This window comes from Homo sapiens, chromosome 22 (assembly GCF_000001405.40).
Source record: "Homo sapiens chromosome 22, GRCh38.p14 Primary Assembly".
NCBI lineage: Eukaryota > Metazoa > Chordata > Mammalia > Primates > Hominidae > Homo > Homo sapiens.
In genome coordinates, this window is record NC_000022.11 from 19,854,925 (window position 1) to 19,869,648 (window position 14,724).

The 14,724-nt window shown below is 43.7% G+C and overlaps 1 long non-coding RNA gene across 2 annotated transcripts, besides 2 other annotated features; it reads left to right on the top strand.

Annotated features, from left to right (window-relative positions):
• Nucleotides 1–47: 47 nt before the first annotated feature.
• On the top strand, nucleotides 48–12,495 carry LOC124905080 (uncharacterized). Of its 2 annotated transcripts, none has more exons than XR_007068005.1 (2): nucleotides 48–788; nucleotides 11,883–12,495. It is a non-coding gene; the product is annotated as an uncharacterized LOC124905080 (long non-coding RNA). The 2 variants fall into 2 exon arrangements; XR_007068006.1 differs by lacking the exon at nucleotides 48–788 and adding an exon at nucleotides 5,288–5,389.
• Nucleotides 481–960: an enhancer, noted in NCBI's record as "active region_18663". NCBI's record gives its function as "activates an Ori minimal core promoter by ATAC-STARR-seq in GM12878 lymphoblastoid cells {active_cell/tissue: GM12878}" and the evidence as "EXISTENCE:reporter gene assay evidence [ECO:0000049][PMID:35858748]".
• Nucleotides 13,747–14,689: an enhancer, noted in NCBI's record as "H3K4me1 hESC enhancer chr22:19856194-19857136 (GRCh37/hg19 assembly coordinates)". NCBI's record gives its function as "activates a minimal SCP1, AML or CMV promoter by ChIP-STARR-seq in naive H9 embryonic stem cells {active_cell/tissue: H9 hESC(naive)}" and the evidence as "EXISTENCE:reporter gene assay evidence [ECO:0000049][PMID:30033119]".

Here is a 14,724-nt window from a genome sequence, read left to right on the forward strand (position 1 = left end):
ACGACCCGGCGCATGCTCCCGGCACGCTCCACGCGCTCCTCCCATCCAGGCCGCGCCTGCGCTGTATGCCGTGTGGCCGCTACCTCGCAGGCTCTCCCGGTCCCTGCTGGCGCGGCAGTGCCGCGCGGTGGGTGATGGGAGAGCGCGCCCATTCCCACGCCGCGCCAAGTGCCACGGGATCAGGTGGGGCCGCGTGTACAGGCGCGAGACGGTCGGGCCAAAGCTGCCCCTCATGATCCCCAGCGGACGGTGCCCGGCGGTCCCTCAGATCCGGGAAATCTGCACCCGGCTGTGGCGTAGACCGAGGGGCCGATGCTGCTTCAGCCCGCCGTTACTGCCCTGGCGTCAGCCAGACACTGGGGTGCTGCTGGGCGTCGAGAGGGCTGCTGCGGGGCCGGGCTAAGCCTGGGGGGCTGCAGGTGTCGGGGTGGATGTGGGCATAGCGGGGCTGCTGGGCCTCGTGAGCGCCCTGGAACGGCGTGCCCGCGGAGTGCCTCTCATCACTCATTGCCAGTGCGGGGAACCTTGTTAGGGCCCGGTTCGACGTAGCTGCAGGCTGGGCGCCAGAGGCAGGGGGCAGGCAGTCCGAGAGGACCCTCTACCTGCATACCTGGGGGCTGCAGGCAGGGCCTCTGGGCCTCCTTGTTGTGGATATAATTGTGTGCTTCCCGACTCAGGCCGAGGCTGGACCCGGAGACGACAGCGAGGGCAGGCTACCAAGCCCTCCCCACAGGGCCGTGCCCAGCCCAAGCCTGCCGAGTCAGCACCCAGATCCTGGGACAAGATAGGTGAGGATGAAGTGGTGGTGCTCTTCTCACTTGCACAAGCCGTCCCACGCCACCTCTCCTCGGCTTCACGGTGCCTAGAGAAGAGGTGGGAGAGGGTGCAGGCGCCCCAGCTCAGGATCTGATGCCTGTGGGCCAAGGACCTGGATGCAAGCCAGGAGTCCTTGGGGCCACGGGCAGGCAGCCGGATTCACCGGAAAGTGACGCTTCTCAAGGGGAACACACACGTAACACACCAGCTCCCTTTCTGCCCTGGTCCAGTGACTCCTTTCATGAAAGCTCTCTGAAATGTTATCTGCATTTACACCCAAACTCACTCACTTTGATCCCTGAAACGCGAATCAAAGGTCACATTGTACCTTCCCTGGGTCTGTGGGGCTTTCAGCAGCCTGGGCCAAAAATAATAAAAGTGGCACCGAGCCAGGAAACGCCTCCTTGAAGTGGGAATGAAATTTGGATTTTTTTCGGTTGTATCTTTCCTAATTGACCTGATAATTTAAACTTCCTCCCTCAAGGGAAAGGTGGGGGTTCCCACAAATTCAGCTTACCTCAGCCTCAAGGCAGCTCAGTCTACAGCTCAGCGCCCATCAGCAGAGTGGGCAGTGGGCCTGTGGAAGAAATGAATCCAACTGAGCCAGAAAAGGCCTTTTTTGGTCCAAATTTTTTTTTTCTTTCAGGCCCTCTCCTGTGTATAACTGTCATGCACCGCATAACAACGTTTTGGTCAACTAGGGACCACATATGTAACTGGTCATCCAGTAAGCTATAGTTATTTTATTATTGAAGAAAGAAAATTTTTAGGCCAGGCGCTGTGGAGGCTCATGCTTGTAATCCCAGCATTTTGGGAGCCCAAGGCGGGCAGCTCATTTGAGGTCAGGAGTTTGAGACCAGCCTGGTCAACATGGTGAAACCCTGTCTCTACCAAAAATACAAAAAATTAGCCGGGCGTGGTGGTATGTGCCTGTAATCCCAGCTACTTGGGAGGCTGAGGCAGGAGAATCGCTTGAACCCAGGAGGCGGAGGTTGCAGTGAGCTGAGATTGTGCTACTGCACTCCAGCCTGGGCAATAGAGTGAGACTCCATCTCAAAAAAAAAGGAAAATGTTTAATATAAGTGTGTTGCAGCCTAAGTGTACAGTGTTTATAAAGTCTAAAGTAGTGTACAATAATGTCTTAGGCCTTCACATTCACTCACCACTCACACCCACAGCAACTTCCAGTCCTGCACCTCTGTTCATGGCAAGTGCCCTAACCAGTTCTATTTTTTATTTTTTGCACTGTACTTTTACTGTACCTTTGCTATGATTAGGTGCACTAATACCACTGTGTCACAATTGCCTACATTGTTCAGTAGAGTCACTGTGCAAGTTTGTAGCCCAGGAGCAACAGGCCTTACCATACAGCCTAGGTGTGTAGTAGGCTCTACCATCTTAGTTTGTGTAAGTTACTCTATGAGGATCCCTCCATGACAAAATCGCCTAGTGACACATTTCTCAGAGTGTATCCCCACAGTTAAGTGACATATGACTGTTTTTTTATTGTGGTAAAATATAGTAACATTTACCATTTTAGCCATTTTTAGGTATACAGTTCAGGAGCATTAAGTACATTCATGCTGTTGTATATCCAGTGATCACTATTTATTTCTAGAACTTTTTCTTCACTCCAGAACATTAACTCCTCTTCCCCTCCCACTCGCAACCCCTGGTAACCATCATTCTATATTCTGTCTCTGTGAATTTAATTACTCTAGGTACCTCATATAAGTGGAATCATACAGTATTTATCATTTTGTGACTGGATTATTTCACTCAACATGTTTTCAAGGTTCATCCACATCGTAGCATGTGTCAGAACTTCCTTCATTTTTAAGGCTGTGTAATATTCCTTTGTACACATTGACCAGATTTTGTTTATTCATTTGTTGATTGACACTTGGGTTGTTTTCACCTTTTGGCTATTGTGAATAATGCTGCTATGAACATTAGTGTACAAGTATATGTTTGAGTCCCTGCTTTCAGTACATAAGAGTGAAATTGCTGAATGATACGGTAATATTTTGTTTGACTTTTTGAGAGATTGCCAAACTTTTCCATAGCAAGTGAACCATTTTACATTCCCACCAACAGTGCACAGGAGTTCCAACTTCTCCACATCCTCACCAACACTTGGTTACCTTCTCTTTTGTTTTTTTCCAATAGCCATCCTAACGGTATGAAGTGGTGTCCCATTGTGATTTTAATTTGCATTTCTCTAATGACTAGTGAGATTGAGCATCTTTTCCTGTTATTGGCCATTTGTATATCTTCACTGGAGAAATGGCTATTCAAGTCCTATGCCCATTTTTCACTGGATTTTTGTTTTTATTGTTGAGTTGTAAGATTTTTCTAGATATTCTGGATATTAATCCCTTGTCAGATATATCATTTGCAAGTATTTCTCCATAGGCTGCCTTTTCACTCTGTTGATAGTGTCTTTTGATACACAGAAGTTTTTCATTTTCATTAAAATGTCATTAACTTAATTTCACTAAATTAATTTCATTAATTTCCAAGTCTAATTTGTCTATATGTTGGTGGTAGTGGTGGTGTTATATCTAAATCATTGCCAAATCCAGTGCTATGAAGTTTTGCCCTATGTTTTCTGCTAAGTTTTATAGGTTTAGGTCTTTATATTTAGGACTTTGACCCATTTTGAGTTCATTTTTACATACGGTGTTAGGTAGGGATCCAGCTTCATTCTTTTGCATTTGAATATCCAGATGTCCCAGCATGATTTGTTGAAGACTATCCTTTCCCTATCTTAGTACCCTTGTTGAAAATCATTTGACCATATATGCAAGGGTTTATTTCCAGGCTCTCTAGTCTGTTCCATTGGTCTGTATGTCTGTCTTTCTTTTTTCAGGAAAGTACAGTGTTCAAACTACACAGTCTTGATTACTGTGGCTTTGTTTTAAATTTTGAAATCAGGAAGTGAGAAGCCTCTAAGTTTGTTCTTTTTCAAGATGGTTTTGGCTATTAGGAGTTCCTACAGATTCCATATGAATTTTAGGATGGGTTTTATCTTCCTTTCTTTTTTATTTTTTTTATTTTTTTTTTTGAGACAGAATCTTGCTCTGTCGCCTAGGCTGGAGTGCAGTGGTGCAATCTCGGCTCACTGCAACCTCTGCCTCCCAGGTTCACGCCATTCTCCTGCCTCAGCCTCCTGAGTAGCTGGGACTACAGGCACCCGCCACCACGCCTGGCTAATTTTTTTTATTTTTAGTAGAGACAGGGTTTCACCGTGTTAGCCAGGATGGTCTTGATCTCTTGACCTCGTGATCCACCCATCTCGGCCTCCCAAAGTGCTGGGATTACAGGCGTGAGCCACCGTGCCCGGCCTTTTTTTTTTTTTTTTTAAACTAGACACAGGGTCTCCCCTGTCACCCAGACTAGAGTTTAGTAGCCTGATAATAGCTCACTGCTGCCTCAAATTCTTGGGCTCAAGTGATCCTCCTGCCTCAACCTCTAAAGTACCTATGACTACAGACATGTGCTACCACACCTGGCTTTTTGTTGTTGTTGTTGTTAAAGCTAGGGTCTCGTTATATTGCCCAGGCTGGTCTTGAACTCCTAGGCTTGGCAAAATATTGGGATTACAGGCATGAACAACCGAACCTGGCCTGTGATAGGTTTTTATATTTCTAAAAAAACACTGTTGGGATGTTAATAGGATTGCATTGCCTCTGATGACCACTTTGGGTAGTACTGACATGTGAACAATATTAAACTTTCCAACACAGGATGTCTTTCCATTTAATTGTGTCTTTAAATGGATATAATTGAACACAGGATGTCTTTCCATTTAATTATGTCTTCTTTAATTTCTTTCAACAATATTTTGTAGTTTTCTGTGTACAAGTCTTTCACCTCCTTGGTTAATTCCTATGTATTTTATTCTTTTTGATGCTATTTAAATGAAACTGCTAATTTCCTTCATGAAGTGTTCACTGCTAGTACTATATAGAAATGCAACTGATTTCTGTGTGTTGATTTTGTATTTGACAACTTTGCTGAATTTGTTAATTATTCTGTTTTTATAGAATCGCTATAAGATCATGTCATTGGTGAAAAAATATAATTTTACTCCCTATCCAATGTGGATGCCTTTTATTTTCTTGTCTAATTGCTCTGGCTAGGACTTTCAGTACTATCTTGAATAGAAGTGGCAAAAGCGGGTATCTTTGCCCTGTTGCTGATCTTTGGGGAAAAGCTTTCAGTCGTTCACCATTGAGTGTGATGTTGGCTGTGGGTTTTTCATGTATGGGCTTTATCATATTGAGGAAGTGTCTTTCTGTTCCTCGTTTATTTAGTATTTTTATCATGAAAAGGTGTTGAATTTTGTCAAGTGCTTTTTCTGTATCAATTGAGATGATCATGTGTTTTTTCCCCTTCTTTCTAATGTGGTGTATTACATTGATTTCAATGTATACATTTTTTCTTTTTTCTTTTTTTATTGAGATAGGGTCTCGCTCCATCACTCAGCCTGGACACAGCTCGCTGCAGCCTCAATTCCTGGGCTCAAGTGATCCTACCCCCTCGGCCTCCCGAGCAGCTGGGACAACAGGTGTGTGCCACCACATTGGCACTTTTTTCTTTTTCTGTAGAGACAGGGTCTCCCTATGTTGCCCAGGCTGGTCCCAAACCCCTGGGCTCAAGCAATCCTCCCACCTTGGCCTCCCAAAGTACTGGGATTATAGGTGTGAGCCACCACACCCGGCTTCAATGTATATATTTTTAAATGATTTTAGGCCATGTGTGGTGGCTTATGCATGTAATCCCAGCACTTTGGGAGGCTAGGGTGGGAGGATTGATTGAACCCAGGAATTCGAGACTAGACTGGACAACATAGGGAGAGCCCATCTCTAAAACAAAACAAATTTTAAAATTAGCTGGGCATGGTGTTGTGCACCTGTGGCCCCAGCTACTCAGGACGCTGAGGCAGAAGGATTGCTTGAGTCCGGGAGGTTTGGGGCTTCAGTGAGCTATGATTGTGCCACTGCACTCCAGCCTGTGCAAGAGTGAGACCCTGTCTCAAATTAAAAAAAAAAAAATGTGGAACTGAATCCTTTCGTATCCATCAGAGGCCCCAGTTTCATTCCCAGAAAGGAGTCTCCTTCCTGCCCTGCTGGTGGGGCTGCACCCTACTTGACTCCTTTGGATACTTCAGACACCCTTCCATCTTAGCCAGGGCAGGGAGGTGGCTGGGCACCCAAGCCTGGTGACCCTGGGGCTGTTTGCGCTTCACCCCTTAGAAACCAGTGTTCTCTTTGTGGGTTTCCTTCCATTCTTTAGTTTTGTTTTAATTAAAAAACAATTTTTTTAAAGGCAGGGTCTCTGTTGCCCAGGCTGAGTACAGTGGCACGATCATAGCTCACTGCAGCCCCAAACTCCTGGGCTCAAGTGATTCTCCTGCCTCAGCCTCCTGAGTAGTGGGGACCACAGGTGTGTACCACCATGTCTGGCTAACTTTTTAAATTTTTGTAGAGGTGGAACTCACTCCATTCTTTTTTATTTTTTTTAATTGAGGTAAGACTTAAGTCTCAGGTACGAACAACAACAAAATTGAGGTAAGATTTACTACAATGGAAGGCACGGATCTTTTATATTTTTAAAAAATGTTATCAGGCAGCCTCCCAAACCAGAATAGGTTTGGAGAGACTCCCAGAATGCACAGATCTTAACAGCAGGGTTTCATGACTTTTGTATGTGCAGACCACTGCCACATACGAGTAAGCTACGGAACACTCCTTTCCCTGAAAGCACCCACAGGCCCGTTCCTCACAGGCACCGTTCTGATTTCTACTCCATCCCTTTATTTTGCTCACTCTGGAACTTCTCACAAATGGAATGCTACAGTATAGACTCTTGAGTCTGGCCTTTTCCAGTCAATACAGCATTTGCAAGATTCATCAATGTTGCGGTCACATGTGTCTCATTTGTTTTTTTGTTTTTGTTTTTCTTAAGCACAGTGTGATAGTAAATCTCATTTGTTCTGAGTGCTGTGTAGCATCTCATTGCATGACTACAGTTTGTCTGTCCATTCTCTCTGTCTCTTTAATTTTTTGTAGAGATGGGGTCTTGCTTGTTGCCAAGGCCAGTCTCGAACTCCTGGTCTCAAGTGATTTGCGCGCCTCGGCCTCCCAAAGTGCTGGGACTACAAGTGTGATCCACTGTGCCAGGCCCCTGTTCTCTTATTGATGGACATTCTTGTGATTTCTGGTTTGGAACCATTATGAATAAAGCTGCTCTCAGCATTCTTGAACAAGTTCTTTTTGTTCACCTAAGGTTTCATTACTTCTGGGTAAATATCTAAGAGTGGACTTGCTGGATCATAGGGTAGGTGCATATATTTAACTTTATTTATTTGTTTATTTTATTTTGAGACAGAGTCTGTAGCCCAAGCTGAAGTGCAGTGGCACAATCTCAGCCCACTGCAACCTCTGCCTTCTGGGTTCAAGCAATTCTCCTGCCCCAGCCTCTTGAGTAGCTGGGATTACAGGCATCTGCCACCATGACCGGCTACTTTTTGTATTTTTAGTAGAGCTGGGGGTTTCACCATGTTGGCCAGGCTGGTCTCGAACTCCTGACCTCAGGTGATCCACCCACCTTGGCCTCCCTAAGTGCTGGGATTACAGGCATGAACCACCACGCCTGGCCAATACATTTAACTCAACTTTATATGAAACTGCCCTCTAGGCGCAGTGGCTCATGCCTGTAATCCCAGCACTTTGGGAGGCCAAGGCCGGGCAGTTCACGAGGTCAAGAGATCGAGACCATCCTGGCGAACATGGTGAAACCCTGTCTCTATTTAAAAATATAAAAATTAGCTGGGCATCGTGGCACACGCCTGTAGTCCCAGCTACTCGGGAGGCTGAGGCAGGAGAATCGCTTGAACCCGGGAGGTGGAGGTTGCAGTGAGCCGAGATCGCACCACTGCACTCCAACCTGGGTGAGAGAGTGAAACTCCATCTCAAAAAAAAAAAAAAGAAGAAACTGCCAAGAGCGTTTCACAGTAGCTGAAACTCATCTTTCCTGCAGCATTGTATGTGCATTCCAGTTGTCAGTTGTTCCACATCCTCACCACACTTGCTATTGTCAATCTTTTACATTTTAATCATTCTGGCGGGAATGGAGTGGTATCTCATTGTAGTTTTGATTTGCATTTTCCTGGTAACTAATGATGTCCATGATTTTATGTGGTTGTTTTTCACCTTCTATTAATTTGCAAGAGCCTTGGGGGGTGTTTTGTTTTGTTTTGTTTTGTTTTGTTTTGTTTGTTGTGTCTCGCTGTGTCTCCCAGGCTGGAGTGCAGGGGCGCAATCTCCAGTCACTGCAACCTCCGCCTCCCAGGTTCAGGTGATTCTCCTGCCTCAGTCTCCTGAGTAGCTTGGATTACAAGTGTGCGCCACCACACCCGGCTAATTTTTTAGTAAAGACGGGGTTTCACCATGTTGGCCAGGTTGCTCTCGAACTCCTGACTTCAAGTGATCCACCCATCTCAGCCTCCCCAAAGTGCTGGGATTACAGGTGTAGGCCACTGTGCCCGGCCAAGAGTTTTTGCATATATTCTGAATAAAAGTCTTTGTCAGATATAAATATTGCAAACACTCTTTCCTAATCTGTCACTTGCCTACTCGCTTTCTTGATGTGCCCTTTTGAAGAGCAAAACTTTTACATTTGGATGCCTGTGCTTTTTGTGCCCTAAGAAGCTTTGCTACCTGAACGTTATGAAGGTTTTCTTCTGTTTAGTTTTGGAAGTTCTATTATTTTCACTTCTACATGCAGGTCTGTGGTGTATTTTGCATTGATTTTCATGTGTGATGTGAGTCAAAGTTTGTTTTCTCCTTATGGACATCCCATTGTTTTAGCACCATTAATTAAAAGGACTGTCGTCTTCTCCATTGAATCACCTTGGCACTCTTGTTAAAATCCAGGTACTACATTTGTGCGGATCTACTTCCGGACCCCTATTGTGTTCCACTGATTTTTGTCCTCAGGCCCAAAGCATACCGTATTCATTATTGTAGCTGGCCAGGCACAATGCTCACGACTGTAATCTTTGGGAGGCCAAGGTGGGAGAATCACTTAAGGCCAGGAATTTGAGACCATCCTGGGCAACATAGCAAGACTCTGTCTCTATAAACAAAATGATAGCTTTATAGTAACACTTGAAATTAGATAGTGTAAGTCCTCCAACTCTGTTTTCCTTTTTCAAAATTGTTTTGGCCATTCTAGTTCTTCTGCACATACATGTAAACTTTGTAATCAATCTGTGAATTTCTATAAAAATAATCAGCCTGACAATTGCTCATGGGATTTTGATTAAGATTTTGTTGAATCTATAAATTTGGGGACATAGAACATCTTAAAAATATCTCATCTTTCAATCCTTGAACAGATTACATCTCTTCATTGATTTAGGTCTTCATTAATTTCTTTTCTTTTTTCTTTTTTTTTTTTTTTGAGACAGGGTCTCACTCTGTTGCCCAGGCCGGAGTGCAGTAGCACAATCTCGGCTTACTGCAACCTCCACTTCACAGGCTCAAACGATCCTCCTGCCTCAGCCTCCCAAGTAGCTGGGACTACAGGCATGTGTCACCATGCCTGGCTAATTTTTGTATTTTTAATAGAGATGGGTCTTACCATGTTGTCCAGGCTGGTCTTGAACTCCTGGACTCAAGTGATCTGCTTGTCTCGGCCTCCCGAAGTGCTGGGATTACAGGCATGAGCCACCGTGCCCGACCTTAGGTCTTCATTAATTTCTTTCAGGAATGTTTATAGTTTGCAGTGCATAGGTTTGGGCATGTTTTATTAAATTTATCCCTACACATTTTATGTTTTTTGATGCTACTGTAAATGGTACTTTTAACCACCACATGTCCTCACTCATATGTGGAAGGTAAAAAAAATGATCTCACATTAGTCAAAAGTAAAACAGAGGCTATTAGAGCTGGGGGAAGGGAGGGAGAGAGAGAGACGTGTTGAAGGATACAAAATTCCAGCTAGATGGGAGGAATACATTCTAGTGTTCTACACCACTGTAGGATGACTGCAGTTAACAAAAATGTATAGTTTCAAATAGCTAGGAGGAGGATAGCAAATGTTCCCTAACGCAAAGAAATGATAAGCGCTAGAGATGATGGATAAGCTAGTTGACCGGCATCTAATCACCACACATTGTATGTATTGAAACATCACTATGTACCCCATGGGTATGTGTCATTATTTGTCCATTTAAATTGTTTTAAATTTCACTTTCTGGTTGTTCATAGCTAATATATAAAAGTAGATTTGACATTTTCCCTTGAGTTCCTGCTAAATTCACGTATTAGGTCTAGTAGTTGTCTTATAGATTCCTTAGGAGTTTCCATGTCCATGATCGTGTCATCTACAATTAAAAACAATTGCGCTTTTCTTTCATATATATATGTTCATTTGTATATGACATTTGCATATTGATTTACCTATAATGTACATATGATGTGTACACATATGCATACATATCTATACAGGATTTTTTTGCCTATGTCAGTGGCCAGGTCCGTCAGTGACAATGTTCAGTGAAAGTGGTGTGAGTGGGCGTCCTTGACGTGTTCCTGATTTTAAGAAAGCGTTTGGTCTTTCACAATTAAGTACAGCGTAAGCTGTAGATGTTTCTCCTAAATGCCTTTTTATCAGGTTGAGTGAGTTTCCTTTTCATTTTAGTTCCTAGAGAGTTTTATTTTTTCGTAAATGGGTGTTGAATTCGGTCAAATGCTCTTTCTCTGTTGATATGATCACGGTATTATTCTTTGTCATTCTGTTAATGTGATAAATTACGTTGATTAAATGTTGGCTGTGAAATTGTCTTGCATTCCTGGGATAAATTCCATGTGGTCATAATGAATGCTTTGTACGTGTTGCTAAGTACAATTTGTTCACATTTTGTTAAGGACTTTTGCGTCTGTATTCTTGAGGGATGATGCTGGCCTCATAAAATGAGTTTGGAGGTGCTTCTCCCTTCTCTATTTTCCTAAATAATTGGTGTAATATTGGCATTATCTCTTCCTTAAATGTTTGATCAAATTAACCAATGAAACCATCTGGGCCTGGAGTTTTCTTTATGGGATAGAATTTAATTATTTTAATAGATATAGAGCTACTCATATTTTCTGCTGCTTCTTGTGTAAATTAAGGAATCTGTCTAGTTCATCTAAATTTTCAAATTTAGTGAACTAAATTTGTTCATATTGATTTATTCTCCTTTTAATGCCAGTAGTCTCTGTAGCAGTATTTCCTCTTTCATCTTTGATATAGGTAATTTTATGGCTTTTTATTTTCAAATAACCAACATTTTACCTTACTGGTTTTCTCCATTATTTGTTTCCTATTTTATTGATTTCCACTTTTATGTTTATTTCCATCCTTCTATTTACTTTGGTTTTAATTTGAACTTCTTTTTCTGTTTTTTGTGTTTTGTGTTTTTTTTTTTTTTTTTTTTTGAGACAGAGTCTCACTCTGTCGCCCCGGCTGGAGTGCAGTGGCGCATTCTCGGCTCACTGCAAGCTCTGCCTCCGGGGTTCATGCCATTCTCCTGCCTCAGCCTCCCAAGTAGCTGGGACTACAGGCACCACCACCACGCCCAGCTAATTTTTTCTGTATTTTTAGTAGAGATGGGGTTTCACCGTGTTAGTCAGGATGGTCTCGATCTCCTGACCTTGTGATCTGCCTGCCTCGGCCTCCCAAAGTCCTGGAATTATAGGCATGAGCCACTGCGCCCGGCCCTTTTTCTGGTTTCTTAAGGAGGTTGCTTAGGGCATAGATTGTAAACCTTTCTTCTTTTTTAACATAAGTATTTAAAGCTATAAATTTCCCTCCAACCACTGCCTTAGCTACGTTCTAGAAATATTGATGTGTTATTTTTTCATTGTCATTTAATTCAAAATATTTTCCAATTTCTCTTATGAGTTCGTCTTTGATTCTTAAGTTATTTAGAATGTGTTGTATAATTTCCCAGTTGGGAGCATTGCCAAGCTATCTTTTTATGATTGATATTTATTATTGTTGTTATGTCCTAGTGTATGGTCTACTTGGTGAAAGTTCCATGTGCAACTGAAAAGAATATGAAGTGTGAAACGTATGTGAAGAATGATGGTGGGACTCTGGTATAATCATCTTGGAAAAAGTATTTGTCATTCTTGTGTTAAACATATACCTACCTATGACCTAGCCATTTCACTCGTAGATGTTCATCCAAGAGAACTGAAAATGTATGTCTACACAGAAAGTTTTACATTAACATTCATTGTAGCTTCATTTGTAATAGCCAAAAACAACCCACCAGTAGGTGAGTGGATAAACAAAATTGGCGTATCTATACAATGGACCACCACTTACCAAAAAAAACAAAAAAGAAAAAAAAAACAGCTCCTGATACTGGCTTTTTAGATGTACCTCTTTGTATTTTAGTGGTTGCTCTAGAAGTTTACATTGTACATCTTTATTATAACCTACTTACTGTATATCTTTATTATAACCTACTTACTACCTACACCTTATATGTACTACTTCCCATTAAGTGTAAGAACCTTGCATCTGTATAATTAATTCCATTGGCAACCATGTTTTTGCTATTGCTGTCATATGTTTTTCATTAATATAAACCCAAATATACATTGTTATAATTCTTAAGTAATCAGTATTGTTTAAAGAAAATAAGAGAAGGAAAAATACGGTATTTTTCTTTACCTGTATATTCCCACTTCCTGTACCCTTCATTTCGGTCTGTCCATCTAAGTTTCCATCTGGGAAAATTTCCCTTCTGCCTGCAGAACTTTTTACTGCAGTTTTTGTAGTGCAGGTCTGCTGGTAAGGAGTGATCTTGGCTGACTTTATCTGAAATGCCTTTATGTCTGTTTAGGGTTTGAAAAGTAGTTCACTGCACATAGATCTTGGAGTTGCCTTCTTTTTTTTTTTTTTTTTTTTTTTTAAGACGGGGTTTCACCATGTTGGCCAGGCTGGTCTCAAACTCCTGACCTCAAGCGATCCGCCCACCTCGGCCTCCCAGAGGGCTGGGATTACAGGTGTGAGCCACTGTGCCTGGCCCGGAGTTGGCTTTTTCTTCTTTCTGCCCATACACTTTTTTCTGATGGGAAGTTGCCAGGCGTGTACAACATGTCCCGGCTGCTTTCAAGGTTTTCTCTTAATCTTGGGGTGTCCAAGAGTTTGACTGTGATAGGCCTGGCTGTGTTTCTTTATCCTTATATTGCTTGGAGTTTGCTGTGATTCTTTGATGTTTGTCAACAAATTCATGAAACTTTAGGTCATTGTTTCTTCAGTTTTTTTTTCCTGCCTCATTCTCTCTCCTCTCCTGAGACATCAGGATGTGAGTTGTTTTAATATTGTCGCTCAGGTCCCTAAGGCTGTTTTTTCATTGTTCTTTTTAATCTTGTTACTCTCTATACTTTTGATTGGAGAACTTTTTAAAAATCTCTCTTCAAGTTCATTGACCCTTACTTCTGCCATCTCCAATCTCTTCTTAAGAATACAGTCCATCCAGTTAAATGTCCAATTTTCACTTGTTATTTTTACCTTTACTTTTTGTCCTAGAATTTTCCTTTCTTTTTTCTTTGAGATGGGGTCTCCCTGTGTTGCCCAGGCTGGAGGTCATGCATGCAGTGGTGTGATCATAGCTCACTGCAGCCTCGAACTCCTGGGTTCAAGTGTTCCTCCCACCTCAGCCTCCTGAGTAGCTTTCAAGAGTGAGCCACTGCGCCCTGTCAACCATGGACACTTAAAAACAGAAAACATAGCATAAAGCCTTCATGCCATGCTTTACAGCCATGCTTTGAGCACCTACTATGTGGCAGGTACCATGCTGGGGACAAAAATGTGAAGAAGGGAGGCCCCTGCAGGGCAAGAGAGAAAGACAGGCTTTAGAGTAATCAAGAAACAGCATTCTGTGGGAGCCCTAAGCGGGTGCCTCATCTTGCCAGCTGACAGGGAGGACTCCTGGAGGGGAGCCTGTGTGTTGAATCTTAACCAATGAGGGGGCATTAGCCAGGGCAGAAAGAGGAAGGCACAGCTTTGGGCTGAGGGAACAGCATGGGCAAAGGCACAGAGGCCAGACAAGGCGGGTGCAGAAGAAAGTCCCAGGCAGGAGTAAAGGCAGTGTCCCCACCCACTGGGGGCCCCCACCGTGGTGGCTGTCTGGTCCTCACGGCGGCCCTCCGCGGGTGGGGTGGGATCAGAGCTTGTCTGAGCTGGTGAAGGCGGGACTCATCCCTGCTGTGTCTGGGCCTCCTGGTGCGGTCTTCCGCCCTGACATGCCTGGGCACCTGGGAGCTGACAGGTACAGCACCTTTCCAGAGATGTAAGGCACTGGATGGGAGACTCTGATCTGTAAAGAACTGGCTGATGGGAAGCGCCTGCTGCATTGATATGGCATCTCCGCCCCACCGAGGCTTTGAAAATCAAATACTCCCCAAGCTATGGAAACCCAACCACAGGCGGACTGTTAGGACTTTATTATTATAATCACTCGGCCCAATTCCAGCCACCGCGGGCAGAACAATGAGCCATTGAATCCTTGCAGAGGTCTCGCCTCTCCCATGGGCAGGGACCCGGTGCTGAGGCCTTGGCAGGGAGGGTGGTGGCAGGCCTGTGCGCTACTGCACAGCCCGGGGGCCCGTGGGGGGTCTGGGCTTCGGTCTCCTCACTCATCGAGCAGGAGGCCTGAAGAGAACACATCCGGATGGTGCTGCACTCTCCTGACATTCTGTCCCACATTGTGACCCTTGTAGGTCAGGAACTAACTCTGCTTCAGGGAGACCATGATGCAGAAGACACCAGCGTCCTTCGCAGTCCTCAGCATGCATGGCCTCGCCTATATAATCACAAAAAGGGAGCCTGTGGGGTGTT